The 13,215-nt window shown below is 40.8% G+C and overlaps 1 long non-coding RNA gene and 1 pseudogene across 2 annotated transcripts in view, besides 2 other annotated features; both read left to right on the top strand.

The window, feature by feature from the left end:
- Positions 1 to 13,215, top strand: part of FIRRE (firre intergenic repeating RNA element) — a 139,119-nt gene that overhangs the window by 28,188 nt on the left and 97,716 nt on the right. The window contains exons 4-5 of one of the 2 annotated variants that reach the window (NR_026975.2): positions 6,125 to 6,647; positions 7,990 to 8,132. This is a non-coding gene — a long non-coding RNA (firre intergenic repeating RNA element). Of the gene's footprint in view, positions 1 to 6,124; positions 6,648 to 7,989; positions 8,160 to 13,215 lie in introns of both variants that reach the window. The other variant, NR_152876.1, reaches the window with a different exon arrangement.
- On the top strand, positions 6,286 to 7,084 carry MCRIP2P1 (MAPK regulated corepressor interacting protein 2 pseudogene 1; annotated as a pseudogene).
- Positions 9,081 to 9,375: an enhancer, noted in NCBI's record as "tiled region #4069; K562 Activating DNase matched - State 3:PromF, and HepG2 Activating non-DNase unmatched - State 15:Elon". NCBI's record gives its function as "activates a minimal TATA promoter and a strong SV40 promoter by Sharpr-MPRA in K562 cells, with weaker activation in HepG2 cells {active_cell/tissue: HepG2 | K562}" and the evidence as "EXISTENCE:reporter gene assay evidence [ECO:0000049][PMID:27701403]".
- Positions 9,768 to 10,137: an enhancer, noted in NCBI's record as "active region_29964". NCBI's record gives its function as "activates an Ori minimal core promoter by ATAC-STARR-seq in GM12878 lymphoblastoid cells {active_cell/tissue: GM12878}" and the evidence as "EXISTENCE:reporter gene assay evidence [ECO:0000049][PMID:35858748]".

Below are 13,215 nucleotides of genomic sequence, written 5' to 3'. Positions count from 1 at the left end.
TTGTGGCAGCTGTGTCAGAACACAAAGAACAGGCCAATTCCAGATGACATTGCAGAGGCAAGTGTGCTTGCTGAAGATCTCAGGTCAAACATCTAGATTCACTGCCTGCAGCCAGGAGGAATTGAGGAGAAGTGGGGCCACGTAGTCAAACCAAGAAGTAATGAAACGTCTAAAGGAGTAGATATGAAAAAACAGATGGAGAAGAAGTAATCCAAATATGTTAGCCAAGCATAAACAAAAACTGAAGTATAATTCAATCTAATTTAGATGTTTTACATATGACTAAGCTATTTCAACACAGACAGTGAAAAGGATTGAAAATGAACACATATTTCCAAGTCCTTGCCTGCCAGAGGTGTCATTCCTTGTGATATCACTCTATGACTTCATACATGCCTGTTGTAGAAGGAACATTGCAAAGAAATGTGATTATTTCTAGAAGTGCAAAAATCAGGTGGCAAAAATGATGTCACTGAAGATCATGAAGGAGGACACGTTGGCACATCATCCCTCCACAAAAGCAGCAAGAGCCAGGCATGAACTAGAAAGAAGTGTCGGCCCCGCGCCGTGGCTCACGCCTGTAATCCCAGCACTTTGGGAGGCCGAGGCGGGTGGATCACGAGGTCAGGAGATCGAGACCATCCTGGCTAACACGGTGAAACCCTGTCTCTACTAAAAATACAAAAAATTAGCTGGGCCTGGTGGCGGGCGCCTGTACTCCCAGGTACTCGGGAGGCTGAGACAGGAGAATGGCGTGAACCTGGGAGGCGGAGCTTGCAGTGAGCCGAGATCGCTCCACTGCACTCCAGCCTGGGCGACAGAGCGAGACTCCGTCTCAAAAAAAGAAAGAAAGAAAGAAAGAAGTGTCAGAATCCACTTTTACAGAACTCTAGAGCTTGTCAAAAACTTACAACACCCAGGGAAGCCTTGGTGAAGAAATAAGTGACTGCTTTGTGGTGAGAGAGCAAGAGAGCTGCGGCATTTTAAATTACCTGTCTACCATCCCCCAGCCTCCACAGTGCCTTCAGTATAGCTCCTACCCTCGTGCATAGGTATAATACAGAACTTATTCTCAAAGAATTGTTGCATTCCAGTTTGATCTGTCTTTTGGCTCCCTAAAGGATTGGTGTAAGAGCTTGCTTTTTGTTTTGCCTCACTTGGAGTGTTTCCAAGTTTGGAACAACTCCTGAGGGGCATGTGTTGAAAAAACTTAAAGACACAAGTACTGGCTATAAGAATCTGAGGCAAGGGACAACAGTTAAAATAAACAATAAGCAGATGGAAAAGCATGGGAAGGAAGAGGCTATGAAAGGAAATACTTGGGGGAATAAGAACTTTAAAATGTTCTTGTATACACTAGAGAAATAAGAAAGCCATGCACATGGGCAGGGCTGGACAATTATGCAGAAAATGCCTGAGAAGAGCTTAAGGTCTCAGATCTCACTAGCTTTCAGGCCCCTTGCAAGCTAGAAGTGAAGACTACAGCCTGGCTAGTTGAAAGAGTGCCCCAACACACAGAGCCAGTTTTCAAGGACTTAGAGAATACTTATCTTTCTTTCTTTCTTTCTTTCTTTCTTTCTTTCTTTTTTTTTTTTTGAGACGGAGTTTCGCTCTTGTAGCCCAGGCTGGAGTACAATGGCACGATCTCGGCTCACTGAACCTCCGCCTCCCGGGTTCAAGCGATTCTCCTGCCTCAGCCTCCAGAGTAGCTGGGATTACAGGCTTGCGCCACCATGCCTAGCTAATTTTTGTATTTTTAGTAGAGACAGGGTTTCACCATGTTGACCAGGCTAGCCTCGAACTCCTGACCTCAGGTGATCCACCTGCCTCAGCCTCCCAAAGTGCTGGGATTACAGGCATGAGCCACCGCACCCAGCTACTTTTCTTTCTTTCTTAGGCTCCACGTGTTTAAGGAAACTGTCAGAGTACTAGGTGACCACTAAGCTATCAGAACACTGACTCCAGTGGCTACAAATGATAAAAATACAGACTTTACAAAAATATTTAAGAAAAGTTACTAAAAAAGCAAATAACAAACAACAACACACAACTGCTATCAACTAACCCCATGGGGTGGGGAGGCAAGTGTGTTTAGAAATCTAATTTCCAGAGTTGATACAGTATGATATCAAAACATCTAATTTTTATTTTTATTTATTTATTTATTTATTTATTGAGATGGAGTCTTGCTCTGTCACCAGGCTGGAGTGCAGTGGCGTGGTCTCGGGTCACTGCAACCTCTGCCTCCTGGGTTCAAGTCATTCTCCTGCCTCAGCCTCCCGAGTAGCCGAGACTACAGGCACGCGCCACCACACCCAGCTAATTTTTGTATTTTTAGTAGAGACGGGTTTCACCATGTTGGCCAGGATGGTCTTGATCTCCTGACCTCGTGATCCGCCCACCTTGGCCTCCCAAAGTGCTGGGATTACAGGCGTGAGCCACCGCACCCGGCCCAAAACATTTAATTTTTAATGATAAACAAAACATAAGACATGCAAAGAAAACAAGAAGGTATGGCCTACTCACAGGGAAAAGAGAAATTCATAGAAACTGTGCAGAAGGAAGCCCAGGCATTGGGCTTACTAGAAAAGAGTTATGTCAACTCTCTTAAATATGCTCAAAGTGTTACCATAAATGAAACACAAAGAACTAAAAGAAACCAAGAGAATAATGTCTCACCAAGTAGAGAACATCAATAAAGAGAGAGAAATTATTTTTTAAAAAAACAAATATAACTTTTGGAACTGAAAAGTACAGAAACTGAAATGAAAAAAAAAAGATCACTGGAAGTTTCCAACAGCAGATTAGAACAGTTAGAAAAAAGTCAGTGAATGTGAAGCTAGAGCAATTGAAACACATGAATATAAACATGCAAGAAGCTCAACAAACTCTATGTAAGATAAACCCGAAGAAATCTACAATGAGAAAGCTTATAATCCTGCTGTCATAAGACAAAGACAAAGCAAGAATCTTGAAAGCATCATAAGAGAAAGGGCTTAATTATATACAAGGACTCCTCAATAAGATTAGCAGCCAGTTTTTCTTCAGAAACCATGGAAGCCAAAAGGCAGTGGGATAACATATTTGAAGTTCTAAAGCAAACAAACTTGTCAATAATTCCATATCCCCCAAGACTAACTTTCAGAAATGAAGGAGAAATTAAGACATTCCTAGATAGAAAAAAACTTACAGATTCCACCAGTAATAGACCTCCCATAACAGAAATGCAAAAAGGAGTCTCTCAGGATGAAATGAAAATACGCTAGATAGTAACTCAAAACCATATGAAGAAATAAGGAACAAAGAAAAGGGTAGCTACATAGATACATAAAAAAGCCAGAAGAATTATATTTTTGGTTTATAATTCCCTTTCCTTCCCATATGATTTTAAAAACAAATGAATGAAACAATAATTATAAGTCTGCATTAATAGGTACACAATGTTTAATGATGTCGTTTGTAAAAATAACACAAAAGGGATTAGAGCTTTAAAGGAGTAGGTTTTATGTACTATATAAACTACTTTGTAGTTTAATAAAAATTGATTACTCTAAAATTAAGATATTAATTGTATTCTGCAGGATAACATAAAGAAAAAAATTAGTATATAGAGAAAAAGAAATAGAAAGGAATAAAAATGGTGCACTAGAAAAGATCAATTAATCACAAAAGAAGGTAGGAATTATGGAATTGAGAAAAAAGCTATAAGACATACAGAAAATACATAACAAAATAGCAGGAATAAGTCCCTCTTTACCAGTAATTACTTTAAATGGATTAAACTCCAAGGCAAAGATTGGCAGAATGGATTTTTTAGAACATCCAACTCTAGCTGTCTAAAAGAGTTGGCTTTAGATCCAATTCACAAATGGTTAACAGTAATAGCATGAAAAAAATATTTCATGTAAAAAGTAACCAAAAGAAAATTGGTCTGACTGTACTGATACCAGACAAAATATACCTTAAGACAATAATTGTTTCAAGAGACAAAGATGGACATTATATAATGATAAGGTCAGTCTGTCAAGATGTACTAATTAAACATACATATTTATTTTACAAGAGTCCCCAAATACATGAGGCAAAAACTGAACAGAACTAAAGGAAAAAATAGAGTTCTAAAAAGTAAGTTAGTGACTTCAATACCCCACTTTATGTATTTATTTATTTATTTATTTAGAGACAGAGTCTCTCACTCTGTCACCCAGGCTGGAGTGTAGTGGCACCATCTTGGCTGCAATCTCCGCCTCCTGGGTTCAAGCAATACCTATGTCTCAGCCTCCCGAGTAGCTGGGATTACAAGCGTGCGCCAATGTGCCCAGCTAATTTGTTTATTTTTCGCAGAGAAGGGGTTTCACCATTTTGGCCATGCTGGTCTTGAACTCTTGGCCTTGAGTGGTCTGCCCGCCTCAGCCTCCCAAAGTGCTAGGATTACAGGCGTGAGCCACGTCACCCAGCCCAATACCCCACCTTAAGTAATGAATGAAACAACTAAACTGAAGATCATTAAGGAATTAGAGGATGTGAACAAAGTTATGAGTCAACTAGACCTAAAAGATATAAAAATATATCTTACCTTGAAAGGTAAGATTCCATCACCTACCATGTAGACCATGCTGTACCAGGAGAAGGGAACTGGCTTTTGTGACATCCTGGCCTGTGCCTCTCTCTTTTTGACTTATCATGGTTGATTTCAAGGATGGCCTATGGACATAGGTGTACTGACACACAGCAGTGCCTTGCAGAGGCTCTGGGAAGCAAAGCACGAGGTCTTCCAGGTATTTTGTGAAAGAGAAAAATGACCTCTAACCTTCCCTTCAAATATCATCTAAAGAACACTCACAGAAAGCCTTGACTAGATGAGTTAGGCTCCTTAGGTAATCCCTTCAGCCTTCACAAAGTCTGAATTCCATTCTCTGTGGCCTGATTGGCAGAGACATTCCCTGCCTCTGATTTAGGGAGAAAAGCAAACAGTTGGACCTTGGGGATCAAACCATGTAAGTTTGCTAACACTAGGTAAGAGAAATGGCAAAGTCAAGGGCATTTTACTTCTAACATGTGATAACCTTGAACCAAACGTCTAAACATGTATGTATTCTAGAAAGCCAATATGCACATTGTAATGTATCTGTAAATTGAAAAAATTCAAACAAAACAACTAACAGTGTCTACTTCTCTAAAGCTGAGTTTTTGAGAGCACATTTTCCAGTTTTACTTTTATTTATAATGAAGGCTTGACACATTGACAAATAAGGCTTAGTACTGATAACATTCTGAGTAATACCATGTTTTTATTTAAAAATAAACAGCACTGTTTACATGCTGGGATGATTAAATGTCTTGCTCTTACTAGTCAAGAAAATTAAAAAGTTCTAACAAATTATTATTTAACACAAAATCCAATTAGCTGAAGTATGTTTAGTGACATTTTAAGTAGGCTTTCTATATAAAACCTGAGAAAAATGATAGAAGGAAAAATATTAAATTAGAAGGAAATTTCACATAAAGGGTGTTATTTGATGTTTATAACAAAAAAAAATTCCTGCACATGTACATTCCCTCTACCCCCCCCAATAAAATGCAAATAGAAGAACGAGCTAAATGCAGTTGAGAAAAACAGTAATTGAATTTTGATTGAGTTTATGTGATAGAGAATATGTCTCATTAACTTCTGCTATAATTGTTCAATTTTTCATTTTTTTGCTAAGTGTTTATATCATCCTTAGGATTTGAGCACTAGTTGATTCATTGTTATTTTTGAACAATAAAGAAATGTTATGAGAGTTAGCAATAAAGTACTATTAGTTACTCCATGCCATTGGAAATTTCCCATTACCTAATATTGTGTGAAATATTCAAGGCATTAAATACTACCTATAGTTTGATGAGGATGGAATTGAAGGGAGTAATTAATGTGATTGTGTGTGTATGTTGAACACTTTGTTGTGCAAATAAGGGAGTATATTAATAAGCCTCTATCGCTTTAGTTAAATAGTATCACCTCTCATGAACAATCATAGAATCCATTTATAATATTTGAATGCATGTAGCCATCAAGCTGCTGATGGTGGTTGCTTCATGAAAATGGGATTTACGATGAAGTGTTTTTGCTTGTCCTTCACAGATTTGAATATTCTAAGAGATTTCTCAAAAAGCTGATATTCATAATTTGAGAAGCAATCAAGAACAAACGTGTACTGAAACAGTTGGTGCAAAATCCTTATTGACCACAGATGGAATTCAGTAATTTATATTTCTTCGAAACATAGAAAAACGGAATACTGAGATCTGGTGGGGGGCCGGCGGCAGTCTGGGAGCGGCGCGCCATGTACACCATCATCAACGGGCCCAGCAAGTTGGTCGCGCAGCGCCGCACAGGTCTCACGCAGCAGCAGGTGAAGGGCCAGCTCCAGGAGCTCCTGAAAAGCCGGCAGCCCGCGCCGCCGACCTTGCAGCCCCAGCGGGCGCAGCCCTTCGCGCAGCCGCTGGGACCCTGGCCCCTGTCGAGTGCAGGGCCAAGGCTTGTGTTCAATCGTGTGAATCGCCGGCGGGACCCCTCCAAGTCCCCATCCCTCCAGGGGACCCAGGAGACCTACACACTGGCCCACAAGGAGAATGTCCGCTTTGTGTCCGAAGCCTGGCAGCAGGTGCGGCAGCAGCTGGATGGTGGCCCAGCCGGTGAGGGCGGGACAAGGCCTGTGCAGTGGAGAGGATCCCCAATCCCCGGCTGCAGAACTTCGTGCCCATTGACTTGGACGAGTGGTGGGCGCAGCACTTCCTGGCTAGAATCACCAGCTGTTCCTAGCGGCTGCTGGGAGGGAGCGCTGCTATGGTCTACCTATCGCCAGGAGAGGAGCATGGCGTCCTGCCCATCCACTGTTGCGCCTGGCTGGGTGCCGGCCACACCTGAAGTGCCAGCATTTGGACTTTTGCACCTGTTGTTCCCTTGGCCCAGCTGTCCCAAGCTGCTATGGCCAGGGGCTGAACCCGTCTGACCTCAGTCCTGCTCACTGTGCCCAGGGACCAGAGACCAGCCCCTGGGGATGTCGGAGAGGAGCTCCAGGCTAATAAAGTCGAGAAACTGCCAAAAAAAAAAAAAGAAAAGAAAAGAAAAGAAAGAAAGAAAGAGAAAGGGAATGCTGATAATAGATCCGCATTTTGAAATTACTTGTTTCTTGGTGGTGGCATTAACTGTGACCTACCTGCTTTTCTTTAAACAGGGCTACTGTATCTGAAAATATTGTAAATAAGCAGATCTAATTTCGAGAAATGCCAAAAACAGGAAGGCACTCTTAAAAACAACCTGGCATCCCACAAAATATTTAAGAATAATCTTTAAGAATATTTAACAAGTTTGCAAATGTTTAAGCTACAATAAATGTAGAGAACATATTTGAACACTGGACATACAAATATATGGGAACTTTAAATAGAGAAGTTCTTATATGACCAATAGAAGACGTGAATGTGTGATAAAACCATTTTAAAAGTCATTTCCTATTGGGATTGAGAGACCACTTATTTATGATATTTATACACCTATCTGTGTACACATGTTTACTAACCATAGTAGTGATTAGTCATGGTAGTGATTAGTCATGGTAATCATTTCAGTTACCATGATCTGTGCCTATATCCGTATGTATGTGTGTATGTACTTATTTATACAAAACAAGATGTTAAGGAGAATTTGTACATGCATTTAATGCAAGCAAATACTTTCCCTTCAAAACTTTGTCAGAATACACATCTGGTCTGATCCAAACCACAATGTACAGATTAATCCAATTTTAATATAGATTTATTTTTTGTGTGAACAAAATATAGTAGGCGTATGTATCTATACATTGAAAAGTATGGAAGAAAATAACCCAAAATGTTATCAGTTGTCTTAACAGATTTTATGATGGTGTTATTCTTCTTGATGTACACAAGATTATTTTTGAACTATATGGCAAACATCATTCTTTTTTAATTTTTTTTTTTTAGAGACTAAGGTGTCAGTATGTTCTTCAAGCTGCTCTGCTCCTGGGCCCAAGCTATTCTCCTGCCTCAGCCTTCCAAGAAGCTGAAACTACAAGAACACAAGACTGTACCTGGCTTGCAAACACCATTGCTAATAAGAAGATATTGTAAGACTGATACCTAAGAGATAAGAGGTAACACACACACACACACATGCAGGCACACACACACACACACACTCAAGTCACAAGAAGAAGCTGAAAAATATTTAATGGCATAGGAACATGTGGAAATATAAATTATTCACTGTTAAACAGAGGACAATTTTTAAAACTGTGTAACTATCTTTTTTTTTTTTTTTTTTTTTTGAGACAGAGTCTCACTCATTCTGTCGCCCAGGCTGGAGTGCAGTGGCGTGATCTCAGCTCACTGCAACCTCCACCTCCCGGATTCAAGCGATTCTCCTGCCTCAGCCTCCTGAGTAGCTGGGACTACAGGTATGGGCCACCACACCTGGCTCATCTTTGTATTTTTAGTAGAGACAGGGTTTCACCATGTTGGCCGGGCTGGTCTCAAACTCCTGATCTCAAGTGATCCACCGGCCTCGGCCTCCCAAAGTGTTGGGATTACAGGCGTGAGCCACTGCATCTGCCCCAAAACTGTGTAACTTCTAATGGGAGTTTATACAGATGTAAGTATATGTATCATGCCCTGTGGAACAATGTATTACATACAATGATGTGCGCTGTCTTGGCCTTCTCTTCCTACTTCTACCAAACACTTTCTGACAATTCATCACATAAACTGAGAAAATGGAGGAGGACTCCCTGGTTGTCTGGGGAGGGGAATAGGTCAAAGATCACCTAGACTTGTGAATTGGTGGCTCATGATGATCTCCAGGCTTCTGACCATTTATTATCGCTTTTCTTCTCTGATCGGTCTAATTTCCGGCCTGAGACAGACATTTTGATACCATGTGAAAGTACTGAGCCAACCCACATAGACTAAGTCTGGAAAACATTTAATTTCTTGAAAGAACAAGATTCCTGATGAGGATGGGTCGTTTAGGCTTTGACTTGATTTCACATGGAAAAGAAAAGCAAAAGTACAGGAATTTGCACAGGTTGCCCCAAACTGTGCAAAATGCAAGGCAGCCATGTCTCCTGGCGCATTTGTCTCTGGGTGGCGTTTTTTCAGACAGGAAGGGCGGGAGAAGACTGCTCCAAGACAGGGCGTCCTTGAAAATCTGAAGCACTACTGCCACCGTGAGGAAATCGTTTAAAGACAGAATAGGCTATTACAGCGTCCTTCCCGGGAAGCCTCGCTGTGGGGGAAAGTCTGGTCTGTGAGGAGGTGGAAGAGGATTGGGCTCCAGACTAGGTCTTGTTGCCTTCTCCTCTAAGGCCTGAAGAGAGAACTGGAATTTGGCGGTATCTTGGTGTAGAACCTGGAGATTGAGGGGCTTGGAGTGAAGCAGCAGCTGCCAGGAGGTCCTGGTACAGGAAGTCGTGGGTCGGGGCCTCAGTTCCTCCTGGTGTGGGCAGGACAGCAGAAACCCTCTCAAAGACACATGTAGGCTCTTATGGGCATCTCTTTGCTGTTCCTGCCCCTTGGAGCAAGAGTCAGAAGTTTTCCACGAGCTGTCATCTTGCTATGGATCTTTGGGTCTCTGGTAGCATGAGTGTTGCGCACAATTAACAGGGTTATTCCAAGGGAAGTTTACAGGATTTGCTATTAGAACCTTCACACTCCAGGTTCTATAGCAAGATACCGCCAATGTCCAGGTCTTTTTTAAAGCCTTAGAGGAGTAGGCGAGGCCTCCCAGCATAGAGGCCAAGCCTCTTCCACCTCTTACCAGACCAGACCTGTCCCAACAGGTAGCCCACACTAGAACTCTGTAATGGCGTAGGGTTTCGTTAAACGACATCCTCACGATGGCAGTAGTGCTCCAAATATGCTAAGTAGTCTGGTCTTGGCGCCCTCTACTCCCGCCCTTCCTGTATGAAAAAACGCCACGCATCCACAAAGGCGCCACCAAACATGGCTGCCTTGCATTTAGCCCAGTTTGGGGCCAGCTGGTCTTACCGCTGCACTTTTGCTTTTGTTTTCCACTTGAAATCAAACAAGGCCCGCCTTCATTAAGAATCTTGTGCTTTCAGAAATTAAATATCCTCCTGTCCAAGACTTTGAGGGTGCGATTTATTTCACAGAGTTAAGGGGCCAGTACACTTCATGGTATAAAATTATCTTTTTCAGGGGATGAAGGCACAAGGAGAAAATTACTTGAAACTTGGAGATCTTCTCTGGCAAGCAATTTACAAATTCTGGTGTTCTTTGATCTGGCTCCCCGCCCAGACAACCAGGGAGTTCTTCATGTTCTAGCCTCATGTGTTGCACTATAGGCAGTAATTTGGCATCAGCCATAGAGGAGGGATCCGATAGTTGTCATTGCTGCCCGCCACATATACTCCACATGGAATGATACTCATAATGCATATGTTCAATTCCTGTCGAGGTTACACAGAGTTATATCTCATGGTCGCATCATTTAACACCAAAATAACAACATTCCCATGTGTTACATATACTTCAAGTATTTCCTGAGACTTTACACGGTGCCTACGTGGGGAATGGATGGGTGCGTTATGTTTCTCCCTTGGAGCAAGAGTTAGCAGGCTTTCAGGCAGTGTCACTCTGCTGTGAGGCATGAGTCATTTGTTGCAGCAATGTGAGAACACCAAGGACAGACCAATTCCAGGTGGGATGTAGCAGGAGCAAGTAAGTTTTCTGAGGGTCTCAAGGGCACCCAATTGTCTGAAGACTAGAAGGGCATAAAGAGAAATTGAACCACTGAGCTAATCAAGGAAGAGTTACATCTTCTTCTAGTGGACTGTTGTACATAAACACATAAACCAAAAACAGTGAAAGGGACTGAAAATCAATCTACATTTTAATAGTATTTGTTGGAGATGGCATTACCCGTGATCTCACTTCACGTTATCATGTATGACTATTGTGGCAGGTATGTTTTCAAGAAGCATGATTGTTTCTACGAATTCAAAAACAGGTGGCGAAAGTGACATCAATGAAAAGTATGCATTAGGGAACTTCTGTAGTCCCTCTCTCTGGAAAGGCAACTCAAAACAATCAAGAATCTATCATTAGAAGATCATTTTCTCAACACGATATATGGGGCATTTATAAAAAATCTACAGGTAGTATTATACTCAAGAGTGAAAGACTGAAAGCTTTCCTCCCAAGATCATGAACAAGGCAAGAATGCACACTTTTGCCCTTTTCTTGTACACTTAAAATTCTAGTCAGGGTCATCAGACAATGAAGATATATAAAAGGCATCCAAGTTGAAAAGAAAAAAAAGAAAAAAAAAATGGAAATTATCTCTCTTCATAAAGATGATGATATTATAAAAATGCTTTAAACTGCAGAAAAACCATATTAGAGCTAATGAACAATATTCAGCAAGCCCCACAGGATAGAACATTAAATCGTAAAAATCAGTTATAGTTGTGTACACTAGCAATGAACAATCTGAAAATTGAATTAAGAAAGCAATTCCATTTATAATAGCATCAAAATAAATCATATTTTAAGGAGAATATTTCACTAAACAGATGAAAGACTTGTACATTGAAAAATCACAAAATATTGGAGAAGAACTTAAAGATTACCTGGATTTTTAAAAAGGACATCCTGTGGGTAATGAGTTAGAAGACTAAATATTTATAATATGGCAATACTAGCCATAGAGATCTACAGATTTAATGTAATCCTAATTATTATTCCCATGAGCATTTATTTTTGGGAAAAAGAAAGAGCAAATTCTAAAGATCCTATTAAATTGCAAGAGATCTGAGTAACCAAACTTTGAGTAAGAAAAACCAAGGTGGAAGACACACTTCTAGATTTCAAAATTTACTAGAAAATCTAGAGTAATCAAAGCAGGCTGATGATCAAATAAGAATACACACAGTGATTAATGGAAGAGATGAAGAGTCTGAAAATAAACCCAGACATTGTGGTCAATTGACTTTTCACAAAGTTATCAAGTTCATTTAATGAGACGTGAATAGACTCCTTAAGAAATAGTGCTTAGACAACTGGTTATCCACATGCAAAAGGATGAAGTTAGACCTCTACCTCACATCATGTGCAAAAATTAACTTGAAATGTATCAAATGTCTAAAGGTAAGAGCTAAAGCTATAAAACCTTCAGGGAAACTATAGGAATAAGTCTTCAAAACTTTAGATTTGGCAATGATTTTTTAGCTATACCGCCAAAAGCACCAATAACAAAAGAAAAAATAAATTGGACTTCCCTGGAATTAAAAAATTTTGCATCAAAGTGCACAATTCAGAACTTGAAAAGCCAACTTACGGAGTGGGAGGAAATATTTCCAAATCAATTATCTAAAAACTGCTAATATCCAATACATATAAAGGACTCTTAAAAACAACAAAAGACAACCCAATTTTTAAAAAATAGGCCAAGGGAGAGTGACATCACCAAAATGGTAGAGTGGAAGCAATCTGACTTTACCCCAAAGAAAACTAAAAATAGCTGTCTAGTGCCAAGATTGTCACAAGCAATATTGCAGAACTGAAAATTGAGACTATGACGATCTGTGGGTCCACAAGAAAGTGAATACATATGAGCAGCTGGAAAGATTAATAGACTTCTGTCTCTGTGATTCCCCAACTCAAAGCTGCTAGGCACCATGTAGAAAATTCCCCCTGGACTCACGGTTTCCTCTGTAAAATGTGAGATCCAGGCAGGCAGCTAGCTTCTCTACCATTTTGGTGTCCTTTGCAGGAATGCTGTTCTTGCCTCACTCCCTAGAAAGCATCCTGACTGCCTGTAGGAAGAAAAATCTCTGAGGGCAGCTAGAGACAAAAAGTGGAGTCGAAGCTAGCAACCCCAGTGCATTAAATTTGGGGACTCGTCTTTTGCTGAGACAAAGAAGACCTCAAATCAGAGAGGGCATCAGCAGCAACATGAAAATGAACAGGAATGAAAAAAGAACCGGAAAGGCTATACTCTGGCCCAGCATGGTGGCTCACGCCTGTAATCCTAGCACTTTGGGAGGCCAAGGCAGGCGGATGACCTGAGGTCAGGAGTTCAAGACTAGCCTGGCCAACATGGTGAAACCCTGTCTCTACTAAAAATACAAAAATTAGCTGGGCGTGGTGGCACACGCCTGTAATCCCAGCTACTTGGGAGGCTGAGGCAGG

Source organism: Homo sapiens, chromosome X, assembly GCF_000001405.40.
Source record: "Homo sapiens chromosome X, GRCh38.p14 Primary Assembly".
NCBI classification, from domain to species: Eukaryota; Metazoa; Chordata; class Mammalia; order Primates; family Hominidae; genus Homo; species Homo sapiens.
Note: the sequence above shows the minus strand (reverse complement) of the source record. Positions and strands in the feature narration are given on the sequence as shown.